The sequence below is a fragment of the Homo sapiens genome, chromosome 13 (assembly GCF_000001405.40).
Source record: "Homo sapiens chromosome 13, GRCh38.p14 Primary Assembly".
In the NCBI taxonomy this organism is placed as follows: Eukaryota; Metazoa; Chordata; class Mammalia; order Primates; family Hominidae; genus Homo; species Homo sapiens.
The window spans coordinates 100185297-100203335 of NC_000013.11; the positions used below are offsets into that span (position 1 = coordinate 100185297).

At 38.9% G+C, this 18039-nt stretch overlaps 1 protein-coding gene across 34 annotated transcripts in view, besides 1 other annotated feature; it reads left to right on the plus strand.

The window, feature by feature from the left end:
- The window catches only part of PCCA (propionyl-CoA carboxylase subunit alpha), a 441343-nt gene that overhangs the window by 96204 nt on the left and 327100 nt on the right, over positions 1–18039 (plus strand). The gene's annotated exons all lie outside the window — the stretch shown is intronic.
- Positions 12187–12687: an enhancer, noted in NCBI's record as "H3K27ac hESC enhancer chr13:100849737-100850237 (GRCh37/hg19 assembly coordinates)". NCBI's record gives its function as "activates a minimal SCP1, AML or CMV promoter by ChIP-STARR-seq in naive H9 embryonic stem cells {active_cell/tissue: H9 hESC(naive)}" and the evidence as "EXISTENCE:reporter gene assay evidence [ECO:0000049][PMID:30033119]".

Genomic DNA, 18039 nt, shown 5'->3' on the forward strand with positions numbered 1-18039 from the left:
TTGCTTTCTGTCTTTGTTTCTTTCTCTCTTTTTATCTTTTCTTTCTTTCTAATATTTTCTTTTTTTCTTTCTTTTGACAGTTTTGCTCTGTCTCCCAGGCTGGAGTGCAGTGGTATGATCATGGCTCACTGCAGCCTCACCCTCTTGGGCTCAGGTGATTCTCCCACCTCAGCCTCCCGGGTAGCTGGGACCACAGGCACAAGCCACCGTGCCTGGCTAATTTTATGTTTTGCAGAGACAAGGTCTCACCATGTTGCCCAGGCTGGTCTTGAACTCCTGGGCTCAAGTAATATGCCTGCCTTGGCGCCTCCCAAAGTGTTGGGATTACAAGTTTTCTTAAATTTCTTTTTCTTTTTTTTTTTTTTTGTGAGACGGAGTTTTGCTCTTGTTGCCCACGCTGGAGTGCAATGGTGCGATCTCGGCTCACCGCAGCCTCCACCTCCGAGGTTCAAGTGGTTCTCCTGCCTCAGCCGCTCAAGTAGCTGGGATTACAGGCATGTGCCACCCCGCCTGACTAATTTTGTATTTTTAGTAGAGATGGGGTTTCTCCATGTTGGTGAGGCTCGTCTCGAACTCCCGACCTCAGGCGATCCACCCGCCTTGGCCTCCCAAAGTGCTGGGATTACAGGCGTAAGCCACTGTGCCCGGCTAAATTTCTTTCAGTAACATTTATTAGTTTCCTGCTTAGAAGTATTGTGCATTTTCACTGTATTTATTATTAGAAGTTTGAGTCTTAAAAATTATTCAGTTTTCTCTTTGATTTCAGTCTTACCATTCCATCTAGTTAAAATAGCTTTGAATCAATATTTTATCATTCTTTTTCAGCATTGGTTCATCATTGAATTAGGCAATCAGTGTCTTTGTGTGGCGTTATACAAGTATTTAGTAAAAATATCCATTAGGGAAGGGCCAAAAGTAGAGTAGGGCTTTTTAGTTAGACAAAAATGGACTATTCAATGATCTGGATATGGCGTTTGAAACAATTGTGTATCTGTACAAATATATTTAGTTTAATACACACTTGTCTGTGTTGTCCATAAGCACACATTTGAATATGGCCACGAGAAAGATTTTGGGTGACCATGTGGATAAAAAAATTATTTGGTACAGTTATTTCTGCTAATGGATGGGGAATGTATAGTAATATGGAAAGTACAAAATAGGGGCCGGGCGTGGTGGCTCATGCCTGTAATCCAGCACTCTGGGAGGTTGAGGTGGGTGGATCACTTGAGGCCAGGAGTTTGAGACCTCCCTGGGCAAAATGACGAAACCCTGTCTCTACTAAAAATACAAAAATGGTTCAGGTGTGGTGGCACGTGCCTGTAGTCCCAGCTACTCAGGAGGCTGAGGCAGGAGAATCACTTGAACAGGGAGGTGGAGGTTGCAGTGAGCCAAGATCGCATCACTGCACTCCAGCCTGGGTGAGAGTGAGATTCCATCTCAAAAAAAAAACAAAAAAAAAAAGAAAATACAAAATAGGGATAGTGTAGAAGAAATCTGAGAATGTTTTCTACAATTTAATGTGTATCACCTAGTAACTATATTTAATAATACTAGATTTATATTCTCTTAAGTATATGCCAATTGAGAATTGTGCAGTGAGTTCAGGGATGCTGTGAAGGAATTATTTTCAGAATTCAAAATTTTCAATGGATAATTGAGAATTAATTGCAATGATGAAACATATGTAACATGTAGTAGCTTATGTAAACATTAGTGTTAGATTAGATTTGTAAAATTCCTAGTTTTCCCAAAATATTTGAATTATGCTGTAGAAAAGTCCAGGGACTCACTCCTGCAACCCTAAATGTAGCTATACTGATACAGGATTTGGCAGCCTAATAGATGTAGGGTTGGAGCACAAAGAAGTTTAAAAATACTCCATTCCATGGATGTTTAATAGATTTATACCTGTTGATTATTAATTTTTGAGTTTGTGGATTAGGTATTATCCTCCATGATTAAAAAAATTGGAGAAAGAGGATAATCACTGTAAGAACGAATCAAGATTATGACTTTGTATGTTCAGACCAACATGGGAAGAAGAAATTCTTGGTAATACGTCAATTGGGATCTGCGATAGGCTGGAGAGGTTTTTGGGCAGATATGGGAAATAATGCTATTTTTAGTCTGTTCACTTTCATCAAGCTGACCACAAGGTGGGGAATAATACATTATATGAGGTCTGGATGACCTGCGATATCATCCAGAGTTATAATAGAGAATTATATTACTTTAAAGAATGTATTTTTTAAATTTGGATATTTACACATGAGTTAGAGTCAAACAGTGTTTTTATAGCTATATCTTGACTAGTTATGCCAACAATAATTATTTTTTAAAATTGTTTCTCAGTACTGTAAGGTTCTTATTTTATTGTTGAAAAAAACTTATTTTAAGTTCAGGGGTACATGTGCAAGTTCGTTACATAGGTAAATGTGTGTCATGGGGGTGGCACTCTTTTTATTTCAGTAAATTTTTGGGAAACAGGTGGTATTTGATTACATGAATAAGTTCTTTAGTGGCGATTTCTGAGATTTTGGTGCACCAGCCACCCAAGCAGTGTACACTGTACCCAAGGTGTAGTCTTTTATCCCCCGCCCCCTTCCCACCCTTTCCCCCAAGTCCCCAAAGTCCATTGTATCATTCCTATACCTTTGCCTCCTCGTAGCTTAGCTCCTACTTATGGGTGAGAACATACGATGTTTGGTTTTCCATTCCTGAGTTACTTCACTTAGAATAATGGTCTCCACTTTGGGAGGCCGAGGTGGGCGGATCACGAGGTCAAGAGATCGAGACCACCCTGGCCAACATGGTGAAACCCCGTCTCTACTAAAAATACAAAAAATAGCTGGATGTGGTGGCACATGCCTGTAATCCCAGCTACTTGGGAGGCTGAGGCAGGAGAATCGCTTGAAGCCGGGAGGTGGAGGTTGCAGTGAGCCGAGATCGTGCCACTGCACTCCAGCCTGGCGACAGAGCAAGACTCTGTCTCAAAAAAACAAAACAAAACAAAACAAAACAAAACAAAAACACAAAGAAAGAAAGAAAGAATAATGAATTCCATCTGGATTGCTGCAAATGCCATTTTTTCATTCCTTTTTATGGCTGAGTGGTCGTATTCCATGGTGTAGATATACCAGTATTTATCTACTCGTCAATTGATGGGTATTTGGGCTGGCTCCATATTTTTGCAATTGCAAATTGTGCTGCTATAAACATGCATATGCAAGTATCTTTTTTGTATAATGATTTATTTTCCTCTGGGTAGACACCCAATAATGGGATTGCTGGATCACATGGTAGTTCTACTTTTAGTTCTTTAAGGAATCTCCACACTGTTTTCCATAGTGGTTGTACTAGCTTACATTCCCAATAGCAGTGTAAAAGTGTTCCCTTTTCACCACATCCACGCCAACATCTAATATTTTTTGATTTTTTGATTATGGCCATTCTTGCAGGAGTAAGGTGGTATCTATTGTATTGTGGTTTTGAATTGCATTTCCCTGATCTTTAGTGAGCATATATTGAAGTTTGTTGGCCATCTGTATATCTTCTTTTGAGAATTGTCTGTACATGTCCTTAGCCCACTTTTTTTTTTTAAATTATACTTTAAGTTCTGGGGTACATGTGCAGAATGTGCAGTTTTGTTATATAGGTATACATGTGCCATGGTGGTTTGCTGCACCCATCAACCCGTCAGCTACATTAGGTATTTCTCGTAATCCTATCCATCTCCTAGCCCCCCACCCCCTGACAGGCCCCGGTGTGTGATGTTCCCCTCCCTGTGTCCATGTCTTCTCATTGTTCAACTCCCACTTATGAGTGAAAACATGCGGTGTTTGGTTTTCTGATCTTGTGATAGTTTGCTGAGAATGATGGTTTCCAGCTTCATCCATGTCCCTGCAAAGGACATGAACTCGTCTTTCTTATGGTTGCATAGTATTCCATGGTATATGTATGTGCCACATTTTCTTAATCCATTCTATCATTGATGGACATTTCGGTTGGTTCCATGTCTTTGCTACTGTGAATAGTGCCGTAGTAAACATACGTGTGCATGTGTGTTTATCGTAGAACGATTTATAATCCTTTGAGTATATGCCCAGTAATGGAATTGCTGCTTAGCCTACTTTTTGATGGGATTGTTCATTTTTTTATTGCTGATTTGTTTGAGTTCGTTGTACATTCTGGATATTAGTCGTTTGTTGGATGTTTAGATTGCGAAGGTTTTCTCCCACTCTGTGGGTTTTCTGTTTGCTGATTGTTTATTTTGCTGTACAGAAGCTTTTTAGTTTAATTAAGTCGCATCTTTTATCTTTGTTTTTGTTGCATTTTCTTTTGGGTTCTTGGTCTTGAAGTCTTTGCTTAAGCTCTTTGCCTAAGACTTTGTCTCTATATTTAAAAAAATATATGTTGCCCAGGCTGCTCTTGAACTCCTGAACTCAAGCAATCCCCTTGCTTTGGCCTCCCAAAGTGCTGGGATTACAGGCATGAGGCACTGTGCCTGGCTGCATTATTATTTTAAATCCATAAAATCACACCTTTTTCAGCTTAAGATCATTTCTAGACTGTCCTCTCACTAAAAATACCCTGGAATCAATATACATGTTGTTAGTTTGAAAATTCTTTGCTAGGTTGAACAGCCATATTGGAAAAGTACCAAATCCCTTTAGGGTTTTGTTATTGGTAATATAAAGAGGACAGAGAATGTATTTCAAATTAGTTGTCATTTCATGAGGTGTTGCCCTTCATTTCTTGGCAGGTCTTAACTAGAATCTAGCCTCCTCTTATAATAGTTGAAAATGTGTCATGACTAATTAATATGATACAATGAGAGCACTGTTTTCTGATTAATAAGGTGGGTGGACCTTATGAAATGTTATCTGAAGATCACGCACGTAATCTTTGATGGCTGTTATTGCGTTATATTGACTTGTGATTCCTGTGTGTTCAACTTCTAGTGTGAATAGTAAGGCCAAAAATTCAAAAGGGCTTTTGAAGTTGATTTGTAATTAAATAGCATTATTAAAATAAAGAGTCAAAGCATTGTCAAGTGTGATAAATTCAGTGTCAAAACTGAGCCTTTAAAACCAAAAAGCGTGGCTGGGCGTGGTGGCTCACGCATGTAATCCCAGCATTTTGGGAGGCCTGGGCAGGTGGATCACTTGAGGTCAGGAGTTCGAGACCAGCCTGGCCAACATGGTGAAACCCTGTCTCTACTAAAAATTAGCCAGATGTGATGGCATATACCTGTAGTCCCAGCTACTTGGGAGGCTGAGGCGGGAGAACTGCTTGAACCTGGGAGGTGGAGGCTGCAGTGAGCCGAGATTGTGCTATTGCACTCCAGCCTGGGCGACAGAGCGAGACCCTGTCTCCAAAACAAAACACCAAAAAGCTCATGCCTGTTATGCTAGCACTTTGGGAGGCCAAGGCATGAGGATTGCTTGAGCCTAGGAGTTTGGGACCAGCCTGGACAAAATAAGGAGACCCCATCACTACAAAAAGTAAGAAAAAGGGGCTGGTCGTGGTGGTTCACACCTGTAATCCCAGCACTTTGGGAAGCTGAGATAGGTGGATCATGAGGTCAGGAATTCGAGAACAGCCTGGTCCCATGGTGAAACCCCATCTCTACTAAAAATACAAAAAAATTAGCCAGGCATGGTGGTGTGCGCCTGTAGTCCCAGCTACTTTGGAGGCTGATGTGGGAGGATGGCTTGAGCCCTAGGTGTCAAAGCTGCAGTGATCACACTACTGCACTCTAGCCTGGGCAACAGAGAGAGAGATCCTGCTTCCAATAAAACAAAACAAAACGCCCTCCTCAAATCAGAAAGCATTCTCAACCATAGTACTTCCAAGCACCCTATTTGTGTTAGAAGTGTTTAAGGCAATGATAAAGTCAGTAAACTATTTCAAGCTGTTGGAAGTGCATCTCAGCACACGACAGTTGTGATTTCATAAGCTTCTTAAGGTTTCAAGTGCACAGCATTTTACCGCAGAACTATTACTGTCTCAGGAATGAGGCCCATGGAACACAGGAAAATTCTCCACCCAGGGAGGAAGGCTGGGAGGCCTCAGCAGCCAATAGTGGTGTGACTGAGACTCTGGAGTCCCTTCACACTTGTGTCGCAGCTTACTACGGGTCACCTCCGTCCTAAGTGTCTTACATTTATTAATCATATATCCTCACAGATAGGGAAACTGAGGCACACAGCAGCCAAGGAACTCGTCCAAGGCCAACCAGGTAGTATATGGTGGAACTGGAGTGAAGGCAGGCTCCACAGTCCCTGTTCTTAACCTTTATACTCCACTGCTTCTAATTCCTTACTTTCTTTTATACAAGAATATAATTTAAAATCCTGCCCAACACTTGTTTTGTAAGATTCTAGTGGCATGGGAAGTGAGGGGTTACAGTTGGTGTCAGTCATATTTCAAATGGCTGGGAATAGGGGTGATAACATACACCCAAGGAAGTCACGCTGGCTGCTACAACATTGTGAGAATATCATTCTGCTGAGATTTTACGCTTGCTGGTAGTTGACATAAAATGAAGCTTAGTCTATTATATACAATGCCAGCTTTTTCCTTCATCAGTTACAAGGCTTGACTTTAATGAAAGGAGAAGACTGCATTTTCAAGTTTGATCTAGAAGGCTATGAAGGCTCTGGTTGGAATTATTGAGAAAGACAAATCTCAGGTGATCTGAACGTGTTAAATTGTAAGAGTACTTAATGTGAATTGGAGGAAGCAATTCTCTGAAGCAAAGGGGGAGGAATTTGTATCTTGGAAAGAATTGCCTTTGTCTTTTATTATTTATGCAGTTGATAATTGCAATATTGCCACTTCACATATGAAAATATCATTGTAGTAAATTTATGTAGAGTTGGCTAACAAAGTTCCCATCCATCTTTGCTTTAGTTCAATTGCCATTAGTTTCCCAGAGTACTTTCTAATTCCTCTACCACAGTACTCATGCTTTATTTTGATTTTAATTGTGTTATATTTTCTCTTCTAGTTAGTCAAATAAGCGAGGTCCTGGTGCACCTCTGTCTTGTCCATCATTGAATTCCTAGGCTTACCACAGTGCCTGACGTAGAGTTGGTGTTGGCAGCTATTTGTAGGATGAATGAATACATGACTGTGTTAAGCAGACATCAAAGGCGTATAAAATTGAAATCTAGTTGTTGTAAGACTTAAAAAGAGAGGAGATCCTTATAGATGAGTGCTGGTTGTTTGCAGGATCATTATTATTCTCTGATGATCAAAAAACTGTTTACGCATGCACCAGTAGTCCCAGCTACTCAGGAGGCTGAGGCGGGAGGATCCCTTGAGCTTGGGAGGCAGAGGTTGCAGTGAGCTGAGATCACGCCACTGCACTCCATAGAGCCAGACCCTGTCTTAAAAAGAAAAGAACGGTTTACAGATCAGTGAGAGAGGTGTTTTCCTAAATATTTAAATGTTTGCTTGCCCATGCTACTTTTCCAAATCCTAATTGTCCTTTTCCCCCTCAAATGCTCCTTCCTTTGTGAAGCCGTCCTTGATTCCCTTGTTGGACTCTGTTCACCGTGTCTGATTTTTACCTCTTCTAGTGCACTGACTATTCTTACCGTGTATTGTTTTTATTTTTTGGTACATGTGTTGTTGTTTGTTCTACTAGACTATAAACTCTTGAGTGTGAAAACCATGTCTACTTAACCAGCCTGCTTCCGAGAGTGAAAAGGGACGCTAATCAGATAGGACACCGAGTAATAGATGTGTTCAAGGCTGTGCGAGGCAAACCTGATGGCTGGTTACTCTCCAGTAATCTTTAGCTTATTGAAAAAGCAGAGGCCACTTGCACCTGTTTACAAGCAGGTGAGATGGGCCTGAGAAGGTGATTGAATTGCAGATTCAAAACGCTGGTTTGTGTCTTAGTCTTATCTCTGTCACTTCACTAGTCTAATGACTGTGGGTAATTTATTTCATCTTGAAGACCCTCATTTTACTGACATGTTAAGTAGTGATGACCATTTATTTCCTGCTGTTTCTTAGGCCCCCTCCTTTTTGTGTTTTGAGGAAGAGAAGATATAAAAAAACGCCCTTGAGAGCTGTGAAGTGTCATAGATACTACAATATCGTTTTAGAATCAATTGAAGACTTTCTAACTTTGTAAACAAATTTGAATCTGATGACTGAAATGCTAATCTATAAAATGGTTTTTTAGTAATAAAGTGAGACTTAATACAGTGCTTTTAAATAGTATGAAATAAGTAAATAAATATTGTAGTTTTTGTTAGTATCATTATATTCCTTGTTCTTTTAATTCATTTTTAAACTTAGAATTGTTTCCTACAGATAAACAAATGTCAGCTTGGGTCCATCTACTACATCTTATTGTCACTTTCACTTCATTGCATCATTGCTCTTAATCAGAATAAAGGGTGAATTTAGCAGGTTGTAGGGTTTGAGTAGTGCTAAGTATTGTGAGGAATTGTGCTCAAGGTAATTAATTATAAATCATAGTCCGGGTGCGGTGGCTCATGCCTGTAATCCCAGCACTTTGGGAGGCCAAGGCAGGCAGATCATGAGGTCAGGAGATAGAGACCATCCTGGCTAATATGGTGAAACCCCGTCTCTACAAAAAAATTATCCTGGCGTGGTAGCGGGCTCATGTAGTCCCAGCTACTCGGGAGGCTGAGGCAGGAAAACGGCACAAACCTGGGAAGCGGAGCATGCAGTGAGCCGAGATTGTGCCACTGCACTCCAGCCTGGGTGACAGAGCAAGCCTCCGTCTCAAAAAAAAAAAAAGAAATCATGATCTCTGCTATTTTAATATTTTGCTCAGTATTTGAAATAAGCTTTATAATGTAGGCTATAGTAAAACACAGCAATTAAGTGCTTAAAACAAGAATATCCCAACTGTAGGTACAGCATACTTTACCTAAACTATATGACTCTTATTTCTATCCAGCAATGGGATCAAAAACTTGATGCATTTCAGAAAACACGAGGTTAAGCAAGACGTGGGAGGATTTTGACTTGTGGTAAATTTTGAAAGAAATTGTAAATATTTTCAAAGAAAATAGAAAAAGCACACAATTCAGAGAATATACAAAGCCAATTAAAAAGTTGTAAAATTATTATTATTATTATTATTTTTGAGACGGAGTCTCCCTCTGTCGCCCAGGCTGGAGTGCAGTGGTGCAACTTCAGCTCACTGCAACCTCCGCCTCCCGGGTTCAAGCAATTCTCCTGCCTCAGCCTCCCGAGTAGCTGGGATTACAGGCGTGTGCCACCACACCCAGCTAATTTTTTTTGTATTTTTATTAGAGACGGGGTTTCACCATATTGGCCAGGCTGGTCTCGAACTCCTGACCTTGTGATCTGCCCACCTTGGCCTCCCAAAGTGCTGGGATTACAGGCGTGAGCCACTGCGCCCGGCCGTAAAATTAAATTTAATATCTGATCTGACGGACTAAACAAAAGATCTCTTGCCTTTCACCAGTTTACCAGCTTTCTGTTCTTTTTCACTCTTAGTTCACTAAGTGTGAGTGGACTGTGAGGCATGAGCAGGAAGGGGTGGCATTGGGCATTTACAGCAAGAGACCCTCATGCTAAGTGAAGTGTTATCAAATCTTCATTTTTTTGCTTATACTGTAAAATTGCCAATTATATTCATAGTTATTGTAAGTTATATTCCAAAGTTTAACTGGAAAAATATTATTTTGCAACCAAAAAGGTACCAATTAATATTCCTGTTCATGAAACAATAAAAAGAATTGAATCAGGGAGAAATGAAAACAGCTCATTTTAAATATTCAAATTTAAAATGATATAAAATAGGGATATAAAATAAAAGCATTTTATATGAGGTATAGAGGAAAGAAATTACAACTTCAAAACAAATCCTTGTGATCAGCTTCCATGAGGAGGACCTTAGCAATGTATACCAAATTTAAATGTGAAGCTTCTTACCTTCTTCTTACCTCATCTTCTTAAAAGATACATCTAAAAGAAAAACTAAAATTTGTATCGATATGTTTAATTAAAGCATTATTGTTATTATTATGTAAAGCAGAAAGAAACTTCTGAAAAATAGTTGAGTGATACATTTAAGCATTTCACCTAAGGAAATTTAGTGTTATTTAAACTGATTAACAGTATTTGGCAAAGTATTTTCATTAGCGTTCTAATATTAAAGCTAGCATTTCCTTAAAGGAGGGAGGCTAAAATTCATCCCAAAGCTTGTTTTTGTTAACTCAAATTTTCTCAGTGTTATTGCTGAACAAGTTACTGAATTTTCTCTGGGTATCTTCTATATTGCCTTTCTTTGATTCTTGTCAGTGCAACCAGTCTAAGGTTTTACATGATAAAGGAAATCTGTGGAGCTAATCCTAGAAACCTCTTTCTATTTTCTTACCTAACACCTCCAGGCACAGAGAAGACAAAATACTTCATTTGCATTCTTAAACATTAGGAACTCAGAATAAGTCTTTCAACTGGAAATGTTATTGCATCTACATTTCCCGAAGAGAAAAAGGTTAACAGCCTACTCAGGTTTATGTTAACTCATCTCTTTTTAGTATCCTGATGTGCACAAAGAGTGAAGAATGTGAGGCTTACCCACCCAGGCTCTTTCTTCTTTACAATCAATGAGACTCTGGAAGTGGTATCAGTGCTGATTACAGGGAAATAAAAAGAAAAAATCAAATATGCACAAAAGAAATGGAAAACACTAACATACTTTAATCTTAGTCTTCTAGGAATAGAAAGAACATTTCCAAAATTAATAACGAACATAGTAATTCAAATTTTTTAAAATAAAAAGTTTCCTCCATAAATTTGAAAAGCTTACCAGGAAAGTACAAAGATATTGAGATTTATAGTTTGTTTGTTGAAATGGTTTTTATTAAAGTAATCAATACCAAAAAACTCTTGTTTGTTCTAAGTACCTTGGTCAGAAACCCGAAACATTTAATAAAAGAAATTGAACAATTTTTTGACTTAATGTTTGCTAAAAAGTAGAAATGGAAATCATTTAATTGCCAGATATTAAAAACAGAAAGTTTTCTATTGCTGTAATACTCACTCCCCATCAGTGTAGGAGAAACAAGGTTTTATATTTAACTATAATATATTCCTTAAAATATACTTAAGTGGGAAACTTAACTTCTGCCGACAGTTACAGTGGGGAAAGTTACCACTGTTCTCTTTCCCTAACTAAATACCGTACATAGCTATCATCTGGAAGTAATAGTATTACTTCAGTGCATTGTGCCAGTAGACACTTAATACAGAATATACTTTAGACTAAATGAAATCCAGATCCCAGTAATACTGAAACAGAAAGACACAGGTTCCTTTGGTTAAACTAAGTCATAGTGTACAGTGTACTATAAATTAAATACAGTTTGTGAGTATGTCATTAGATTTTAATTGAATTTGCAATTAGCATCCCAAACATTTAAAAATCGTGTGGGTTTATAAGTTTTTACTTTTGAATTTTAAAATAATAGAACCTTTACCCCCTTCCACTACCCATCTCCCATAGCAATCACATCCATTTATGTTCTTATCCTAATGAATCAGCTAAATTGGGTTTTAATTTACAATGAGCTGGTAAGAGTTAAAGAAAATGACTCCTATAAATGTAGTAGGTGAGAGGCTGAGGGCATCCTCTTCTAGGTTATTCTGCTCCTTCCTACCTTTGTTGATGCCCCACAGTCAATGTTGGGGAAAATTAATTAGGATTTATATTCCAGTCTTCTCTAATGTGTTGTCACCATTGCACAGACTCAGGACTTCCAGTGCAGTGTTGACTAGTACCAGTGCACATCCTTACCCAGGGGACTGGAACTTACCCAGGATCACAAAAATGACACTAGGAATGTTTCTCCCCTCTCAGCATTCAAATGTTCTCCTTATCTTTTATTTTTATATATTTATTTTTGAGACAAGATTTTGCTCTGTTGCCCAGGCTGGAGTGCAGTGGTGTGAACATGGCTCACTGCAGCCTTGACCTCCTGGGCTCAAGCAGTCCTCCTGCCCTGGCCTCCTGTGTAGCTGGGACCATGCCTGGTTAATTTTTAAATTTTTTTTTGTAGAAACAGGGCCCCACTGTGTTGTCCAGGCTGATCTTGAACTCCTGGGCTTTACCTTTTATTATTTTAATTTAATTTTATTTTTTGAGACAGAGTGTCGCTTTGTCACCCAGGCTGGAGCACAGTGGTGTGATCTTGGCTCACTGCAACCTCTGTCTCCCAGGTTCAATAGATTCTCCTGCCTCAGCTCCTGAGTTGCTAGGATTACAGGAGCATGCCACCATGCCCAGCTAATTTTTGTAGTTTTAGTAGAGATGGTTTCACCCTGTTGGTCAGGCTGTGATCCAGGCACCTTGGCCTCCCAAAGTGCTGAGATTACAGGCATGAGCCACTGTGCCCAGCCTTATCTTTTATTTTTAATGATTATTGTTTAAAGTACACTGAGTTCAGGTTAAAAACCAACTGCCAAAGTAAATTTTAACACCTAAAAGCTGGGAGAAGGGGCCATTCTTCTTTTATGCAGTAACTCTTTGGAGTCCAGATACTAACATGCCCCAGATTTCATCCTGGTGCTAAACTGACTTGTTTTCCAATTAAAAAAAATAAAAGTCTGAGTAATATTGCGTAGGAGTACCAGAAATGGCCTTGTTGGAAACCAAAACTATTTACATTCGTTAAGAAATCTGTTTGCAGGTGTGTCTGCCACATTTACAGCACAGTGTACAGCTCCTGGCACTCAATACACAGTGTTGCACAGCTTGCCGCAGGAGCATAAAGTGGAGGTAGTAAAAAGGTAAGGAAGAAAGAGGGAGGAGGATGAGTTGTTCTCTATTCATTTGCTTCTCATTTCATCACTGATTTGGTGGTACCCAGACCTTTACAGAGCCGGTCTCCATAATACTGGTGCAGGTGGCCTGATGCCCAGTTTCTGTTGCTCAGATAATGCAGTCTCATCTCGTCTGTGATTTCAGCAGCACTCATGGCAATGGGAACATTCTTCTTCTTTGCAACCCAGGAGTGAGATTGAATCTCTGATTAAAGAGCAAAGCTTGAGTGTTTTGGACATGGTAATGCTGCAGAGGTGAGTTCCTGTTCTGGCTGTCCATGTCCAAACAAGTGAAACAAATGTTTTCATACTTTGCAGTTGCCACGTTCATTCATTCATTCATTCATTCATTCATTCATTCATTCATTCATTTTTGAGACGAGTTTCGCTCTTGTTGCCCAGGCTGGAATGCAATGGCATGATCTTGGCTCACTGCAACCTCTGCCTGCTGGCTCAAGTGATTCTCCTGCCTCAGCCTTCCGAGTAGCTGGGATAACAGGTGCACACCACCATGCCTGGCTATTTTTTATATTTTTAGTAGAGACGGGGTTTCACCATGTTGACCAGGCTGGTCTCAAACTCCTGACCTCAGGTAATCTGCCCGCCTCGGCCTCCCAAAGTGCTGGGATTACAGGAGTGAGCCACCACACCCGGTCTGCAGTTGCCACATTTAACCTTTAGTGCTAAGTAAACATTTCACCATGGTTCACTTTGTACAAAATGAGAATCTTTACTGAAGCATCCCAGCCAAACATAAGAATGTACTTTACAATTTTTTTTTTTTTTTTTTTTAAGCCTAAAGTCCCTGGAAGAGGCTGGCAAACTGGCTTGAGAAACACTTCACTGGGCATAGAGCTGCTGAAGCTGCTCCTAGTCCGTGTGTTGATTTCACTCCTATAAGTTGGTGGCTACTCTGAAATAGTTTTCAAAATTTTTATTGTAAAATAAAAGGCAGTTACAGGAGAACTATACAAAAGAAACCTATGGCTTAATGAACTATTATAGGGCGAACTATTTTGAAATCATGAAATAGGTCCAGACGCAGATGTTTACCCTGAATCCTGGAAAGCTGTGTGACCCATCTCAGTGCTAACCTCCGGCCTCTCTCTAAACATACCCATTCCTTTGGCTTTTATAGTAATCATTTTTTTTTGCGTTTAAAAATAATTTTATTGTCCAAATGTGCCACCTTGGACACAATATTTAAGTCTTGTCCATTTATTTTTAAATTTGATAAGTCTTTAAAATCTTAGTCTGTAGGCTCCTCTTGCTTCCTTTTCTTCATGACTTATCTGTTGAAGAACTTGGGTGTTTGACTTACAGAGTCTTACCCCAGTCTTGACTTAGCTCACTGCATGGCGATGCTATAGCTCAGTGGTTTCCCCCATTCTTGGTGTTTCCTACAAATTGGCACTTGAATTCAGAGATGGGATCAGACTTGGATTTGATGCCTTTGATGAAGACTATAGGAGGCACATAATGTCTTTTTAGCTCTTTTTAAGATATAAGCAGACTTTGATGCTTACTGCCCATATCTAGTAATTTATTGGATTACAAAATTTTGGTAGTTTAATGCTAACATTTTTTTCATTAGTTAATTGGAATATATTTAGAAAGAAACCCTTCTTCTCATTTACTGTTTTATTACCACTGGTACAATTCATATATGAGAAGCAAGATAAATGCTTAATTCTTTACCTTTATTTACTATTTCTGAAGTAATGATTGGTTCCTTATCATCCCTCGAAGTTAGCCAATTCTTTTGAAGAAATCACTATGAAGTCATACTGTTGAAATTACTGTGAAGTCAAGTTGTTCCTCTTTGGTCCGTGGGGCTTAAGTTGACTCACGGGTCTTTTTGACTTGACCTCATAATCTTCTCTAGCTTCCTTACTATCTGATCTGACAGGACATTCCAGGCTCATGTTTTACATTTTCTGTTCCAACTCTTTATTTTTATTTATTTATTTATTTATTTTTGAGACAGAGTCTCACTCTGTCACCCAGGCTGGAGTGCAGTGGCGCAATCTTGGCTCACTGCAAGCTCTGCCTCCCGGGTTCACACTGTTCTCCTGCCTCAGCCTCCTGAGTAGGACTGCTGGAGCCTGCCACCATGCCTGGCTAATTTTGTTTTTGTATTTTTAGTATAGATGGGGTTTCACCATGTTAGCTAGAATGGTCTCGATTTCCTGACCTCGTGATCCACCCGCCTTGGCCTCCCAAAGTGCTGGGATTACAGGCGTGAGCCACAGTGCCTGGCCTTCTGTTCAACTCTAATCAGCCATCTTTTCAAAATGCCTTGGCTTCTTCTAATGGTATTTGGAGATCACAGTTGGGGTACTAGGCATGGTCATTGCTACTGATTGGTCATTTTAAGCCTTTTTAGTTGCAGGCTAGGAAAAAAAATATACATATATATTAACAGGTTTTTAACATATACGTTTTATGTTATATATGTATATTGCTTATAATACAATATGTTATCTTAACTATATTATATTAATAAAATATATACCATATGGCAATATATTTACTATATAAATATGTTTAAATATAATGCCAACCCTAACCCAAAATAGGGTATGTATATAAAACAAATTTATATTATAATAATCATACTGTATTAATAAAATGCACATAACATTTTTCTCATATATAATGTATATAACAATATAGAAGTATAATTAAATAAAGTCTACATTTTATGTGAGACAAAACAACTCCTGTGTTCATAGCAATATTTTCCATTACAATTCAAAATTGCAGAACTTTAACCTCTTTGTTGCCTCTGTGTATCTTCATTCTTCTGGATTCAGAATTCTGACTCTCAAGGATAGGGGAAATGACAGAATTAGAGTATCTCACAATTGCTTATTTGTCTTGTCCTGTGCTATACACAGAGCAATCTCAGGATAACAATGTTAATACCACTACCAATATGATTACTAAAAACATTAAAAATGTATTTGTACATAATCTTCCTGTAATATTAAAAAAAAAGTTGTACTATATCTATATTGTCAGAAAATGTGGCTGTTATCTATAAGGTTTTATATATATATCTCCTTAGCTTTCATTTAGTTTTAGCTCTACAAGTAAATCCCGACTCTTTTTGTTGATATCTCTTTTGTCATTTTAGTTTCCTGAAGCTCATTCTCTAGTACAGGAGTGGGCAAACCTTTTCTGTAAGGAGCCAGAGGGGAAATATTTTTGGCTTTGTAGGCCCTATGATCTCTGCTAGTACTCATTCTTATTCTTATAGTGAGAAAGCAATCACAGACAGTGTAAACTATGAGCATGGTGGCTACGTTTCAGTTTCATATAATTTTTATGTGTAATGATACAGTATTTAAAAAAATTTTTGCCTAACCCCCACCCCCAATAATTAGTAAAATCTTTTCTTAGATCATGGACTGTACAAAAACAGGCAGTGAGGCTAGGTGTGGTGGCTGTCACCTGTAATCCCTGCATTTTGAGAGGCTGAGGTGGGCGGATCATCTGAAGTAGGAGTTTGAGACCAGCCTGACCAACATGGTGAAACCCCGTCCCTACTAAAAATACAAAATTAGCTGGGCGTGGTGGTGCATGCCTGTAATCCCAGCTACTTGGGAGGCTGAGGCAGGAGAATCGCTTGAACCCGGGAGCTGGAGGTTGCAGTGAGCTGAGATTGCACCATTGCACTCCAGCCTGGGCAACAAGACTGAAACTGCGTCTCAAAAAAAAAAAAAAAAAAAAAAAAAAAAAAACCAAAAGCAGGGAGTGAATGGGCCAGATTTGGCCTACACACTAGTTTGCAAACCTCTGTTGTATTGGACTTCTCAGAGTTTATGAGTTCTTGCATGTTGTTAAATTTTCTCTGCCTTTCATAGTTGCACTGACTTCTATGGATTTAAAATTCTTAGCTTGACTCAGCCTGGTGGCTCATGCCTGCAATCCCAACACTTTGGGAGACTGAGGCAGGAGGATCACTTGAGGCCAGGAGTTTGAGACCATCATAGGCAACATAGCAAGACTCCATCTCTACCCAAAAAAAAAAAAAAAAAAAACTGGGCACAGCAGTACACATCTGTAGGCCTAGCTACTTGGGAGGTCAAGATGGGAGGATCACTTGAGCCCAGGAGTTTGAGGCTGCAGTGAACTATAATGGCACCCCTGCACTCCAGGCTGGGTAACAGAGCAAGACCCTGTTCCACGAAAAGAACATAAAATTATTAGCTCATACTTTCTTTCCTTGAATTTCTTACTCAAAAGAGTTTATTATTCCATTTTCTTTTGGTATAAAATGTTGCTGTCAAAGTCTGATGATTATTTAAATTTCTCTTTTGTATAAGTTACCTATTCCTGTTTTTTTTTTTTTCATTTTCTTTTACTTAAGTAATATTGCTAGAATTTTTCTTGGTATGTTGGTCATCCTGGAATGAATTTCTCCTGTAGTGTGGTCTTTTAATATGTATTTTTAGTTCAAGTAAATTTTCTTGAGTTGTATTTTTAATATTTGCTCTTTTTTTTGCTTTGGTTCTCTTCAAGGATTCCTATTATTCATATGTTGGATGTTCTTTTTTATTTTCAATATTTCTCATCTTCTGTATTATTTATTCATTTTTTATATTTAAATTAAATATTTTTATTTTCAATTTGTCTTTCTCATAAGGCATTGTCTGTTTTCCTTATTCACTCTTACATTCTTTGTAGCTGTTTTCATTTCTGGAATGATTTTCTTTTTCATTTCTAGTTGTATCCTGAGTTCTGTCATCTCATTTCTGAGCTTTTCTAAATCTGATTTATACTATTTTATGTTATGTGTCACTTAAAAATGTCTTTTAACTTGTTTTGAAATATTAGATGATAGGCCAGGTGCGGTGGCTCACGCTTGTAATCCCAGCACTTTGGGAGGCCAAGGTAGGCGGATCACGAGATCAGGAGTTCGATACCAGCTTGGCCAACATAATGAAACTCCGTCTCTACTAAAAATACAAAAAAAATTAGCCGGGCGTGGTGGTGCGCGTCTGTAGTCCCAGCTACTTGGGAGGCTGAGGCAGGAGAATTGCTTGAACCTGGGAGGTGGAGGTTGCAGTGAGCTGAGGTCGCGCCACTGCACTCCAGCCTGGGTGACAGAGTGAGACTCCGTCTCAAAAAAAAAAAAAAAAAGAAATGAGATGATAGTTTTGATCTATTGTATTGGTATGTTTTTCT